General features: G+C 38.6%; 1 protein-coding gene and 1 long non-coding RNA gene across 7 annotated transcripts in view; one reads left to right on the top strand and one right to left on the bottom strand.

Annotated features, from left to right (window-relative positions):
• GRM3 (glutamate metabotropic receptor 3) overlaps nucleotides 1-15101 on the bottom strand; it is a 220971-nt gene that overhangs the window by 55742 nt on the left and 150128 nt on the right. The window lies entirely within an intron of this gene.
• GRM3-AS1 (GRM3 antisense RNA 1) overlaps nucleotides 5702-15101 on the top strand; it is a 31953-nt gene continuing 22553 nt past the window's right edge. For 2 of the 4 annotated variants that reach the window (XR_007060409.1, XR_007060406.1), the window contains exon 1: nucleotides 13909-14518. This is a non-coding gene — a long non-coding RNA (GRM3 antisense RNA 1). Of the gene's footprint in view, nucleotides 5819-13905; nucleotides 14519-15101 lie in introns of those variants that run through there. The other 2 variants (XR_007060408.1, XR_007060410.1) reach the window with 2 other exon arrangements.

Genomic DNA, 15101 nt, shown 5'->3' with positions numbered 1-15101 from the left:
TCTGAAAATTTAAATGGCGGGGGAATCCTCAGTGTTTATAGAAGATATGTATTAGAATGTCAACATTGATAAGTCTCTTTAGGTTTCTTTATTAGCTTTTTCTGATATATAATCATAATTTAAAAATGTTCCCTATTTGAAATCTTTGATATTGTTCCTGTCACTTCTCAGAGTTTCTCAATGCTTCCAATTTCACTCAGAGTAAAGTCCAAAATCCTTACAAGGCTCTCACCACTTCTCTGACCTTATTTCTTCTGTCTCTTCCACGCTAACTCCATCTAGCCACACTGGTCTCTTTGCTTCCCCTTAAACATATTAAACAGGTGGCTCACACCTTATGCCTTGTTATTCCTTGCTGTGAAGCTCTCCCCCATATTTCCTCATGGGTTGCTCCCTCACCTCTTCAGGTCTCTGCTCATTTGACCTCTGGCTCAAACTGTCAGTGAGGTTTCTTTTGATTACATTATATAAAACATTAAACTTCTACCCCCTCCACCCCAATTCTAACACACACACATACAAACACAAACACACACAGACACCCCTCTACCTGGGATGCCTTATTCCACTTGGCGTGCTATATTTTTCTTCATGGTATGGATCAGCATGTGGCATTCTATATCTGTACTAGCTTATTTGTGGGGGAAAAAAAAAGCTACAGAAGAGGGTGGGGCCATTGCTAGGTTTCGCTTCTTAATTTCCAGAGTCTAAGGCTGGGACTTATGTAAAAAGGTCTGCAATATCCAACCAAAAAAAAGTCCAGGACCAGACGGATTCACAGCTGAATTCTACCAGAGGTACAAAGAGGAGCTGGTACAATTTCTTCTGAAACTATTCCAATCAATAGAAAAAGAGGGAATCCTCCCTAACTCATTTTATGAGGCCAGCATCATCCTGATACCAATGCCTGGCAGAGACACAGCAAAAAAAAGAGAATTTTAGACCAATATCCCTGATGAACATCGATGCGAAAATCCTCAATAAAATACTGGCAAAATGAATCCAGCAGCACATCAAAAAGCTTATCCACCAGGATAAGGTTGGTTTCATCCCTGGGATGCAAGGCTGGTTCAACATACACAAATCAATAAATGTAATCCATCATATAAACAGAACCAAAGACAAAAACCACATAACTATCTCAATAGATTCAGAAAAGGCCTTCAACAAAATTCAACAGCCCTTCATGCTAAAAACTCTCAATAAACTAGGTATTGATGGGACTTATCTCAAAATAATAAGAGCTATTTATGACAAACCCATAGCCAATATCGTACTGAATGGCAAAAACTGGAAGCATTCCTTTTGAAAACTGGCACAAGACAGGGATGCCCTCTCTCACCACTCGTATTCAACATAGTGTTGGAAGTTCTGGCCAGGGCAATCAGGCGAGAGAAAGAAATAAAGGGTACTCAATTAGGAAAAGAGGAAGTCAAATTGTCCCTGTTTGCAGATGACATGATTGTATATTTAGAAAACCCCATCATCTCAGCCCAAAATCCCCTTAAGCTGATAAGCAACTTCAGCAAAGCCTCAGGATAAAAAATCAATGTGCAAAAATCACAAGCATTCCTATACACCAATAACAGACAAACAGAGAGCCAAATCATGAGTGAACTCCCATTCACAATTGCTTCAAAGAGAATAAAATACTTAGGAATCCAACTTATAAGGGATGTGAAGGACCTCTTCAACGAGAACTACAAACCACTGCTCAACAAAATAAAAGAGGACACAAACAAATGGAAGAACATTCCATGCTCATGGATAGGAAGAATCAATATCGTGAAAATGGCCATACTGCCCAAGGTAATTTATAGATTCAATGCCATCTCTATCAAGCTACCAATGACTTTCTTCACAGAATTGGAAAAAAACTACTTTAAAGTTCATATGGAACCAAAAAAGAGCCCACATTGCAGTCAATCCTAATCAAAAAGAACAAAGCTGGAGGCATCATGCTACCTGACTTCAAACTGTACTACAAGGCTACAGTAACCAAAACAGCATGATACTGGTACCAAAACAGAGACATAGACCAATGGAATAGAACAGAACCCTCAGAAATAACACCACACATCTACAACCATCTGACCTTTGACAAACCTGACAAAAACAAGAAATGGGGAAAGGATTTCCTATTTAATAAATGGTGCTGGGAAAACTGGCTAGCCATATGTAGAAAGCTGAAACTGGACCCCCTCCTTAAACCTTATACAAAAATTAATTCAAGATGGATTAAAAACTTAAGTGTTAGACCTAAAACCATAAAAACCCTAGAAGAAAACCTAGGCAATACCATTCAGGACATAGGCATGGGCAAGGACTTCATGACTAAAACATCAAAAGCAATGGCAACAAAAGCCAAAATTGACTAATGAGATCTAATTAAACTAAAGAGCTTCTGCACAGCAAAGGAAACTACCATCAGAGTGAACAGGCAACCTACAGAATGGGAGAAAATTTTTGCAATCTACCCATCTGACAAAGGGCTAATATCCAGAATCTACAAAGAAACAAATTTACAAGAATAAAATCAAACAACCCCATCAAAAAGTGGGTGAAGGATATGAACAGACACTTCTCAAAAGAAGACATTTATGCAGCCAACAGACACATGAAAAAATGCTCATCATCACTAGCCATCAGAGAAATGCAAATCAAAACCACAATGAGATACCATCTCACACCAGTTAGAATGGCAATCATTAAAAAGTCAGGAAACAACAGGTGCTGGAGAGGATGTGGAGAAATAGGAACACTTTTACACTGTTGGTGTGACTATAAACTAGTTCAACCATTGTGGAAGTCAGTGTGGCGATTCCTCAGGGATCTAGAACTAGAAATACCATTTGACCCAGCCATCACATTACTGGGTATATACACAAAGGATTATAAATCATGCTGCAATATAGACACATGCACATGTATGTTAATTGTGGCACTATTCACAATACCAAAGACTAGGAACCAACCCAAATGTCCATCAATGATAGACTGGATTAAGAAAATGTGGCACATATACACCATGGAATACTATGTAGCCATAAAAAAGGATGAGTTCATGTCCTTTGCAGGGACATGGATGAAGCTGGAAACCATCAGTCTGAGCAAACTATCACAAGGACAGAAAACTAAACACCACATGTTCTCACTCATAGGTGGGAATTGAACAATGAGAACACTTGGACACAGGGTGGGGAACATCACACACTAGGGCCTGTCGTGGGGTGCGGGGAGGGGGGAGGGATAGCATTAGGAGATATACCTAATGTAAATGATGAGTTAATGAGTGCAACGCACCAACATGGCACATGTTTATATATGTAACAAATCTGCATGTTGTGCACATGTACCCTAGAACTTAAAATATAATCATAATAATAAAAAAGATATGATGCAATCTTAAATGCATATTGCTAATTGAAAGAAGCAAACTTGAAAAGGCACATACTATATGATTCCAACTATATGTCATTCTGTAAAAGGCAAAACTGTGGAGACAGTGAAAAGATGAGTGGTTGCCAGGGGTTTAGGAGGAGGAAGAGATGAATAGGTGGAGCACAGGGGAGTCTTAGGGCAGTGAAACTATTCTCTGGTACTATAATGCTGAATGGATGTTATTTTACACTTAAAACATATAGAATGCATAACAAAAAGAGTGAACCCTAATGTAAAACATGAGCTTTGGTTGATGATGTGTCAATGTTGGTTCATTAACTGTAGCAAATGCACCACACTGATTGGGATGTTAATGGTGGGAAGGTTGTGTATATGTGGTCAGGGAGGAGTATGTGGGAACTCTCTGTATTTTCCATTTAATGTTGCTCTGAAACCAAAACTGCTCTAAAAAAATAAAGTCTAGTTTTAAAAAATAAAAAAAAGGTCTATAATATATATTGAACAACACATAAATTTTCCCTGGTTCTTCAAAGTCCATTTCTAATCCAATTTCCTTTAGGAAATCTCAGTGTGAGTGGAATGTATACTACCATCCTCTTTATCTTCCCTTCTATTTTTATTGGAGATAAGGTCTCACTCTGTGGCTCAGGCTGGAGTGCAGTGGTGTGATCATGGCTGATTGCAGCCTCAACTTCCTGGGCTCAAGTGATCCTCCCACCTCAACCTCCCAGGTAGCTGGGACTACAGGCATGCTCCACCATGCCCAGTTAATTAAGAAAAAAAATTTGTAGAGTTGGGATCTCACTATATTACCTAGGCTGGTCTTGAACTCTGGGCTTAAGCAATCCTCCAGCCTCAGCTTCCCAAAACATTGGGATTATAGGCATGAGCCACCACACTCATACCTACCATCCTCTTTAAATGCAGAAGGATATCCTATTATCACTAATAGAAATCCGCTCTATTTTTCCCCAGAAACAGAAGCACCTGTCATATGAAAAGCAAGGACAAAAATATCATATCTGGGCCAGGTGCAGTGGTTCACACCTATAATCCCAGCACTTTGGGAGGCCAAGGCGGGCGGATCATCTGAGATCAGGAGTTCGAGACCAGCCTGGCCAACATGGTGAAACCCCGTCTCTATTAAAAATACAAAAAGTTAGCTGGACGTGGTGATGGGCAGCTGTGATCCCAGCTACTCAGGAGGCTGAGGCTGGAGAATTGCTTGAACCCGGGAGGTGGAGGTTGCAGTGAGCCGAGATTGCGCCATTGTACTCCAGCCTGGGCGACAAGAGCAAGACTCCATCTCAAGAAATAAAAATAAAAATACCATATCTGATAATTCTATTAATATTTGGTACTCAGCATATGGGTTGTGCTTCTGAAATATTAGCAGATGAATCTTGGGTTGTCGATGAGATTTGCCCTAATCCACTGAGCCATGCAGTGGCAGATCTAGAATGAATATGATCTTTACTGGTTCAGTGTCTCTTACTCTTATTCATGGCAATATTCTCTCAAGAATCTCCAGTGACAATCATAACTGGAGACTGGTTTTGCCTCCAGTGCAATTTTTATGCATTATGAGATAACAATCATTTTACTGCCTATAACATTGCAAGCTGAAGGAACATATCACTGTGCAATGATCCAAGAATGTGAATTCTACTCCAGGAGGGGTTCTTTTTCTTTGACCGTAGTTGAGTCACTCCACCTCATTCTCTATATTCTCATCTATAAAATGGTAAATAATAATATCTGCTTGACCACCTTCACGGGATTGTGGTAAGGATCAAATGACTGTGATCAAAAGCAATTTAAAAATGATAAAGCGTTAACTGACATACATCTTCACAACGATTACTAAAATTTCAGGATTCTGAACTTTTGACAATTTCTTTATTTTAGCTTCATGACTGAGTGAGCTTTTGTGGTGGGCCATCAAACATGAGGGAAAAACAAACAAACAAACAAACAAACACCTCTTGCCACACTGGGGCTTGGGATGCGAAAAAAGGGCTGTGCCTGCACTCAGGGAATCATGCTAGTTAATTCAATCCTTAGCCAAGTAACTTGGATGACTTAAACTTAAACTGTAAGTGGCAGCAAAAAGTAGAAGGCTGGGAGGGCAGCCTCTGGTTTTCCTAGTTTTGCTGTCAAATTAATTACTCTTACTTTATTTCTAAAAGTGTCTATCAGCATCCTAAATATTGCTACAATATTTTAAATAAAACCATGAGATCATGCTCCCAAGAAAAAGAAAACAAAGTATACTTTCCTTTTTCTTTTCTACAGTTTAGCCATTGGATTAATTCAGCCTTAAAAGACCCTTGCAACAGAAAAAGGCAGAAAAGGAATGTGACAAATTTCTCTACTGAAAAGAAAGGATTCAAATTGAGGAAGGATTCATAACAGGGTAAGTTTTAAGGGTGAATTGAGGTAGGCAAAAGATAAGGAACTCATCTCTGGATGTTGGCTTTACATTTAGATATATTTTGTTTGTATATCTGTTGTTTAAAATATTGCTGAAGATTACACATAGTGAATAGAAATGAAGATATAAATGTCTTCTTTATCTAAAGGCTTGCTTTTTGATGACTGAGAAATGATAAATTCTCTTTGTTTTCTACTTTTATTACAATTGAGAAATCATGGTTGAAGGTTTTATTAGACTATAAGCATTTTAGAGATAAAGATTTTGTTAAGTACCCTAAGAAAGTGGTATATTGCTAAAATGTGATTATTGGTGACTGAATAGCCTGTAAACAAAACTTTGTGATAGAAAACTCTGAAGATGCTCTAACTTATGAAGGTATTAATTGCATTTAAAATTTTTAACTTGATTTGTGATGTGTGCTATAAAACAACTACTACTACCACCCCTTAATAACATGAATTCAACAGGAAAAGCTTTTAAACACATTAAACAAACCCACAAAACTATCATGGTCTTGGATGGAAACCTAGAAGGGTTTCAGACCCAGTATTTTTCTCATTTCTTCAACCAATTTACTTTTAATTAAATATATGGAGGTTTGTAATTAGAGTGAGAGAATGGTGTGATAGGGAAGAGAAATGTAGTCTTCAACAGCATTGAAGACATGGTGATCTGTAGCCTGATTACGTTTTTTTTTTTTCAATTTACTATTGATTCTCAGAAATAACAGTATGATATTGCAAATATTGATCTGGCGCAATCTGATGCTCTCAGAGGAAGGAGTGAAGTATGTAGTTGGAGGCCTTTCCTATGAGTCATTCTTTATTAAAGACATCATTATAACAATTACATTATAACAACTAATGAGTTAACAAATACCTTCTTATATTATTCAGATTTGGAAACAATATTTTATTATTACTGTGAATGCACATAGGTAAGCTGAGCCAAATGACAATGAGACTGCATCCTTTTTCTAAATACAAACCTTGTTTTTTTTTCTTTTCTTTTTAGGAAGCAGGAGCGGAAAATAATGTGTGAGTAGGAAACAGATAGACTTGGGTCTCCAAATCTCCAAAGCCACTTAGTTTTGCAAATTGGAGAAAGACATTTAACACTTTTGAGACACATTTAAACTTATAAAATAGAGGGAAATAATATCTACCAACCTGATGGATTTTTGTGAGAATTAATGAATAAAATATACAAAATGGTTATGTCAGGCCAGTGGCAATCAATAAATGCTAGTTTTCTTTTTTCTTCTTTTCCTTTCAGATTAAAATTTAATTGGTTTTAGCTTAAATTCAGGGTGAAAATGATAGACCAAGGATCACAACCAATGTGGTTTTAGAGAAGTTTATATATTTTTTATACAAGGGGACTAAAACACACATTTTATATTTAATCTATAAAATCAAAACAACACTTTACGGTTCCAATTTAATTTTTAATTTCCCAAGGAATTCTGAATTTGTTAATGAAATCTTGATTGTATTCTAAAAATTATAACTTTTAGGAAGCCTTTTCTGACCCTCTGCTCACTATGGTCCCTCTTTTGTATCTAAATACTATGCAACTTATAGCTCTCTTAAGAGGCCAGTGATGAACTGCTGTGTATTGTAAAAGTTACTCTCTTATTGCCCTTACTAGTTGCTAAGATACTTGATGGCAGAAAGAATTTTTTTCTCTTTTAATCTCATCTGTTGTAGTACCTGACACTGTTTCACACTGAATACTAAAGATTCTCTGAAAAGTTTCATAATTATAGCATTGTGTTGTTTTTTTCTATGTACATATGTCACCATTGCCCACAAATCCCCTCCATATTAAAAAGGAAAATTCTCTAGCAGCACTAGCTCTAAAACACTCAATTCCAAATTCTGTCTTTGCTTTATCATGAAGAACAAACTTGTAAGATGTTTGCTGTGGTGGCCGGGCACACTGGCTCACGCCTGTAATCCCAGCACTTTGGGAGGCTGAGGTGGGCAGATCATGAGGTCAGGAGTTCAAGATCAGCCTGGCCAACATAGTGAAACCCCGTCTCGACTAAAAATACAAAAATTTGCTGGGCATGGCGGCATGCACCTGTAATCCCAGCTACTTGAGACGCTGAGGCAGGAGAATTGCTTGAACTCGGGAGGCAGAGGTTGCAGTGAGCTGAGATCATGCCACTGCACTCCAGTTGGGGTGGCAGGGCAAGACTGTGTCTCAAAAAAAAAAAAAAAAAAAAAAAAGAAGAAGTTTGCCGTGGTAAAACATAAAAGATGAGACTAGTTGCTAGCCAACTTGTTTACTATAGGGGTAGAAAGTATAATCTTGTCTCAAAGTGCAATTTAAATAACTTAAATAACTTAGACTGTGGTAGATAAGCTTTTTGATGTGCTGCTGGATTCGGTTTGCCATATTTTATTGAGGATTTTTGCATCAATGTTCATCAGGGATATTGGCCTGAAGTTTTCTATTTTTGCTGTATCTCTGCCAGGTTTTTGTATCAGGATGTGCTGGCTTCATAAAATGAGTTAGAGTGAAGTCCTTCCTTTTCAACTGTTTGGAATAGTTTCAGAAAAAATAATACCAGCTCCTCTTTGTACCTCTGGTAGAATTCACCTGTAAATATATCTAGTTCTAGTCTTTCTTTAGTGGGTAGGCTGTTTATTACTGCCTCAATTTTAGAACTTGTTATTGGTCTATTCAGGGATTCAACTTCTCCCTTGTTCAGCCTTGGGAAGATGTATGTGTCCAGGAATTTATCCATTTATTCTATATTTTCTAGTTTATTTGCATAGAGGTGATTATAGTATTCTCTGATGGTTGCTTGTATTTCTGTGGGATCAGTGGCGATATCCCTTTATCATTTTTTATTGTGTCTATTTGATTCTTCTCTCTTTTCTTTATTAGTCTAGCCAGCAGTCTATCTATTTAATTATTTTTTTCTGAAAACCAACTCCTGGATTTATTGATATTGTAAAGGGTATTTTTAAATGTCTCTATCTCCTTCAGTTCCTCTCCGATCTTGGTTATTTCTTGTCTTCTGATAACTTTGGGGTTTGATTGCTCTTGGTTCTCTAGTTTTTAGTTGCAATGTTAGGGTGTTGATTTGAGATCCTCATAGCTTTTTGATGTGGGAATTTAGTGCTATAAATTTCCCTCTTAAAACTGCTGTAGCTACATCCCAGAGATTCTGGTACATTGTCTCTTTTTTCTCATTGGTTTCAAAGAACTTTTTGATTTCTGCCTTAATTTCATTATTTACCCAGGAGTCAGTCAGGAGTAGGTTGTTCAATTTCTATGTAGTTGTGTGGTTTTGAGTGAGTTTCTTAATCTTCTGGCATGCAAGCCTGGTTCAACATATACAAATCAGTAAGCATACTGAAGACAAAAAACACATGATTATCTCAACAGACATATAAAAGGCCTTCAATAAAATTCAACATACCTTCACGTTAAAAACTCTCAACAAACTAGGTATTGGCCAGGCATGGTGGCTCACGCCTGTAATCCCAGCACTTTGGGAGGCCCAGGCAGGCAGATCACAAGGTTAGGAGATCGAGACCATCCTGGCTAACACAGTGAAACCCTGTCTCTACTAAAAAAAATACAAAGAATTAGCTGGCCTTGGTGGTGGGCGCCTGTAGTCCCAGCTACTCGGGAGGCTAGGGCAGGAGAATGGCGTGAACCCAGGAGGCGGAGCTTGCAGTGAGCGGAGATCGCACCACTGCACTCCAGCCTGGGCGACAGAGTGAGACTCCTTCTAAAAAAAAAAACTAGGTATTGATGGAACATACCTCAAAATAATAGGAGACACTTATAACAAACCCATAGGCAATATCATACTGAATGGGCAAAAGCTGGAAGCATTCCCTTTGAAAACTGGCACAAGACAAGGATGCCCTCTCTCTCTACTCCTATCAAACATATTATTGGAAGTTGTGTCCGGGGCAATTAGTCAAGAGAAAGGAATAAAGAGTATTCAAATAGGAAGAGAGGAAGTCAAACTTTCTCTGTTTGCAGATGCCATGATCTTTAGAAAACCTCATCGTCTCAGCTCAAAACCTTCTTAAGCTGATAAGCAACTTTGGCAAAGTCTCAGGATACAAAATCAGTGTGCAAAAATCACAAGCATTCCTATACACCAACAATAGATGAGCAGAGAGCCAAATCATGAATGAACTTCCATTCACAATTGCTAGTAAGAGAAAAAAATACCTAGGAATACAGCTAACAAAGGAAATGAAGGACCTCTTCAAGGAGTATGTATGGTCTGCTCTCAGCTCTCACTCTGCTAATAAAGACATACCCAAGACTAGGTAATTTATAAAGGAAAGAGGTTTACAGACTCAGAGTTCCACATGGCTGGGTAGGCCTCAATCATGGCAGGAGGTGAATGAACACAAAGTCACATAAACGTGGTGTCAGGCAAGAAGAGGGGAACTCTCCTTTATAAAACCATCAGCCCATGATTCAATTACCTCCCACTGGGTCCCACCCATGACATGTGGGAATTATTGGAGCTACAATTCAAGATGAGATTTGGGTGAGAACACAGCCAAACCATATCAATCCACTCCTGGCCCCTCCCAAATCTCATGGCCTTACATTTCAAAACCAATCATGCATTTCCAAGAGTCCCCCAAAGTCTTAACTCATTTCAGCATTAACTCAAAAGTCCACAGTCAAAGTCTCATCTGAGACAAGGCAAGTGTCTTTGCCTATGAGCCTGTAAAATCAAAAGCACATTAGTTACTTCCTATATACAATGGGGGTACAGGCATTTGTTATACACACCCATTTCAAATGGGAAAAGTAGGCCAAAATGAAGGGGCTACAGGACCCATGCAAGTCCAAAATCCAGTAGGGCAGTCAAATCTTGAAGCTCCAAAATGGTCTCCTTTGACTCCATGTCTCACATCCAGGTCAAGCTCATGCAAGAGGTGGGTTCCCATGGTCTTGGGCAGCTCCACCCCTCTGGCTTTGTAGGGTACAGCTCCCCTCCTGGCTGCTTTCATGGGCTGGGTTGAGTGTCTGCGGCTTTTCCAGGTGCACAGTGCAAGCTGTAGGTAGATCTACCATCCTCAGGTCTGGAGGATGGTGGCCCTCTTCTCACAGCTCCACTATGCAGTCCCCAGATGGGGAATCTGTGTGGGGGCTCATACTCCACTTTTTCCTTCTATACTGCCCTAGCAGAGGTTCTCCATGAAGGCTCCACCCCTGCAGCACACCTCTCCCTGGACACCCAGGTGTTTCCATACATCCTCTGAAATCCAGGCTGAGGTTCCCAAACCTCAATTATTGTCTTCTGTGCACATGCAGGCCCAACATCATGTGTAAGTCACCAAGGCTTGGGGCTTGCACCCTGTGAAGCAATGGCCTGAGCTCTACATTGGCCCCTTTTAGCCACGGCTGGGATGCAGGCACCGAGTCCTGAGACTGCACAAAGCACTGAGGCCCTGGTCCCAGCCCAGGAAATCATTTTTTATCTCCTAGGCCTTCTGAGTTGTGATGGGAGGGGATGTTGGGATGGGAGGGGATTCTGTGAAGGTCTCTGACATGTCCTGGAGATATTTTCCCAATTGTCTTAGCAATTAACATTTGACTCCTCACTCCTTATGCAGATTTATGCAGCCAGCTTGAACTTCTCTTTAGAAAATGGGTTTTTCTTTTTTATTGCATTGTCAGGCTGCAAATTTTCCAAATTTTTATGCTCTCCTCTTTTAAACATAAGTTCCAATTCCAATACATATCTTTGTGAGTACATAAAACTGAATGCCTTTAACAGCACCCAAGTCACATTTTGAACTGCTTAGAAATTTCTTCTGCCAGATACCCTAAATCATCTCTCTCAAGTTCAAAGCTCCACAAATCTCTTGGGCAGGGACAAAATGCTGCCAGTCTCTTTGCTAAAACATAACAAGAGTTGCCTTTGCTCCAGTTCCCAACAAGTTCCTCATCTCCATCTGAGACCAATTCAAGCTGGACTTCATTGTCCATATTACTATCAGCATTTTGGTCAAAACCATTCAACAAGTTTCTAGGAAGTTCCAAACTTTCCCACATTTTCCTGTCTTCTTCTGAGCCCTCCAAACTGTTCCAACCTCTGCCTGTTACCCAGTTCCAAAGTCGCTTCCACATTTTCAGGTATCTTTAGAGCAACACCCCTCTCTACTGGTACCAATTTATTGTATTAATTCATTTTCACTCGGTTAATAAAGACATACCTGAGACTGGGTAATTATAAAGAAAAAGATGTTGAATGGACTCACAATTCCACATGGCTGGGGCAGCCTCACAATCAAGGCAGAAGGCAAAGGAGGAGCAAAGGCATATCTTACATGGCAGCAGGCAAGAGAACATTCACAGGGGATCTGCCCTTTTATAAAACCTTCAGATCTCATGAGACTTATTCCCTATCATGAGAACAGCGTGGAAAAGACCTGCCCCCATGATTCAATTACCACCCATTGAGTCCCTTCCATGACATGTGAGAATTATAGAGCTATAATTTAAGATGAGATTTGGGTGGGGACACAGCCAAACCGTATCAGAGAACTACAAACCACTGCTCAAGGAAATAAGAGAGAACACAAACAAATGAAAAAACATTCCATGCTCATGGATAGGAAGAATCAGTATCGTGAAGATGGCCACACTGCCCAAAGTAATTTATAGATTCAATGCTTTTCCCACTAAATTACCATCGACATTCTTCACAGAATTAGGGAAACTACTTTAAAATTAATATGGAACCAACAGAGCCCATATAGCCAAGAGAGTCCTAAGCAAAAAAAACAAAGGTGGCAGCATGATGCTACCTGACTTCAAACTATACAACAAGGCTACTGTAACCCAAACAGCATAGTACAGGTACAAAAACAGACACATGGACCAATGGAACAGAATAGAGATCTCAGAAATAAGACCACACATCAACAATCATCTGATCTTTAAGAAACCTGACAAAAACATGCAATGGGGAAAGGAGTCCCTATTTAATAAATGGTGCTGGGAAAACTGGCTAGCCATATGCAGAAAATTAAAATAGGATCCCTTCCTTGTACCTTATACAAAAATTAACTCAAGATGGATTAAATACTTTAATGTAAACCCCAAAACTATAAAAACCCTATAAGAAAAACTAGGTAATACAATTCAGGACATAGGCATGAGCAAAGATTGTATGATTAAAACATCAAAAGCAATTGCCACAAAAGCAAAAATTGACAAATGAGATCTAATTAAACTAAAGAGATTCTGCACAGCAAAAGAGACTTCTCAACTGAACAACCAACCTACGGAACGGGAGAAAATTTTTGCAATCTGTTCATCTGACAAAGCCAGAATCTACAAGGAACTTAAACTTATTAATAAACATTATTTAAAAGTCAAGAAACAATAGATGGTGGCAAGGCTTTGGAGAAATAGGAATGCTTTTACACTATTGGTGGGAATGTAAATTAGATCAACCATTGTGGAAGACAGTGTGGCAATTCCTCAAAGACCTTGAACCAGAAATACCATTTGACCCAGCAATCTCATTACTGGGTATATATCCAAAGAAATGTAAATCATTCTGTCCATTGCAACACTATTCACTATAGCAAAGACATGGAACCAACCCAAATGCCCATCAATGACAGACTGGATAAAAATAAATGTGGTACATATACACCATGGAATACTATGCAGCCAAAAAATGGAACGAGATCATGTCCTTTGCATGGACATGAAAGCCATTGTCCTCAGCAAACTAACACAGGAACAGGAAACCAAACACCACATGTTCTCAGTTATAAGTGGAAGCTGAACAATGAGAACACACACTGGGGCCTGTCGGGGTGCAGGGGGAGGGAGAACACCAGGATCAATAGCTAATGTATGTGGGGCTTAATACCTAGATGATGCGTTGATAGGTGCAGCAAACCACCATGGCACATGTTTACCTGTGCAAGAAACCTGTATGTTCTGCACTTGTATCCTGGAACATAAAATAAAATAAAATAAAATAAAATAAAATAAAATAAAATAAAATAAAATAAAATAAAATAAAAACTAACCTAGACCAATGGCTCTTAACTTATCCTCCTATACTTCGGTTCTGTATGTGTTAACCCCACTCTAAAAGTAAAAGAGAAATAATCATCTTTTCCAAAGTGGCTGGTTAAAGTAATACATTAAACTGCCTTAATTTAAAAAAAAAACATACATTTGAGAAACTTTCGTTACTTTACTTCTTGTGTGCTAGGGAGAATGAATGGACAAGTAGTAGGTTAATATTAATGGCAATCTTAGACTATCTAATCATACTTGGTCCAGCAGCTTTGTGTGTATGAATATGATTTTGTAGTTGGTGGTTGAGATGTTATTTTGTAAATTTAAGTTATGGTCAACTCTGTGCTAGTAAAATTGTTTTTTTTTTTTTTAAAGACAAAAGAGAATGAAATCTTTGAATATTCTGGAATGTTATTACTATGACTTCAGAGGACTCTGCCACGTTAACAAATTCTAATATACTTTAGACAGTGGAATGAATCCTTTGATTATCATAGTTTGGAGTGTAGGTACAGTAGCCCCAGGAACCATGCTAGGGGTTCAGGGAAGAAACATAGACTGACTAGCTAACCTTGCCTGCTGATGTCACATAAAGTGATAAGAAGTATTGTGGACCCCTGCTAAGTGCTTTTGGTAAGAGGCAGGTGAAAATGGTGACTAGTTTTCAAGTTCTTTAGCCATCCTTCTCAATGCCTGATCCTCAGAGTATAACATCAGCATCCTTAATCTTTAGGATGTATGCTCATTGCTCAGGCATTATGAAAATTTTGCTATGTTTCTGTGAAGGCTTACTAAACTCAACTTTAGGATAGCTTCCCATACACTCATGGTCCATTGGATAACAGTATAATTGTTTGAAGTTCTTTAGAGAACATTCCTCTATTTCAGTATGTGATTGCTATCCTGGTGAGTACAGCAATCTGATAGCTTTTCTGAACCTACTGAAAATAGTTCCTTTATGTATGTTGGCTTCTCAGTGTCCTGCTCAGGATAAGTAATAGCATAAAGGTATACAGAAGTGGAAAAAACTATGTTTTTAACTCTACTATGACAAAGTTTCCAGAGATTAGAAACCTTTAGAAGACTATGTTCTTGTTGGGATAATACAAGCTATCTTGAAAGGGACATAGATAAGGTAAACTGATTTTTAAACAGGATTTTAGTTACATTTAAAAAAAAATACTTAGAATATTTTTTTCCAATCTCCAGATACCTT

The sequence above is a fragment of the Homo sapiens genome, chromosome 7 (genome assembly GCF_000001405.40).
Source record: "Homo sapiens chromosome 7, GRCh38.p14 Primary Assembly".
Classification (NCBI taxonomy): Eukaryota; Metazoa; Chordata; class Mammalia; order Primates; family Hominidae; genus Homo; species Homo sapiens.
Note: the sequence above shows the minus strand (reverse complement) of the source record. Positions and strands in the feature narration are given on the sequence as shown.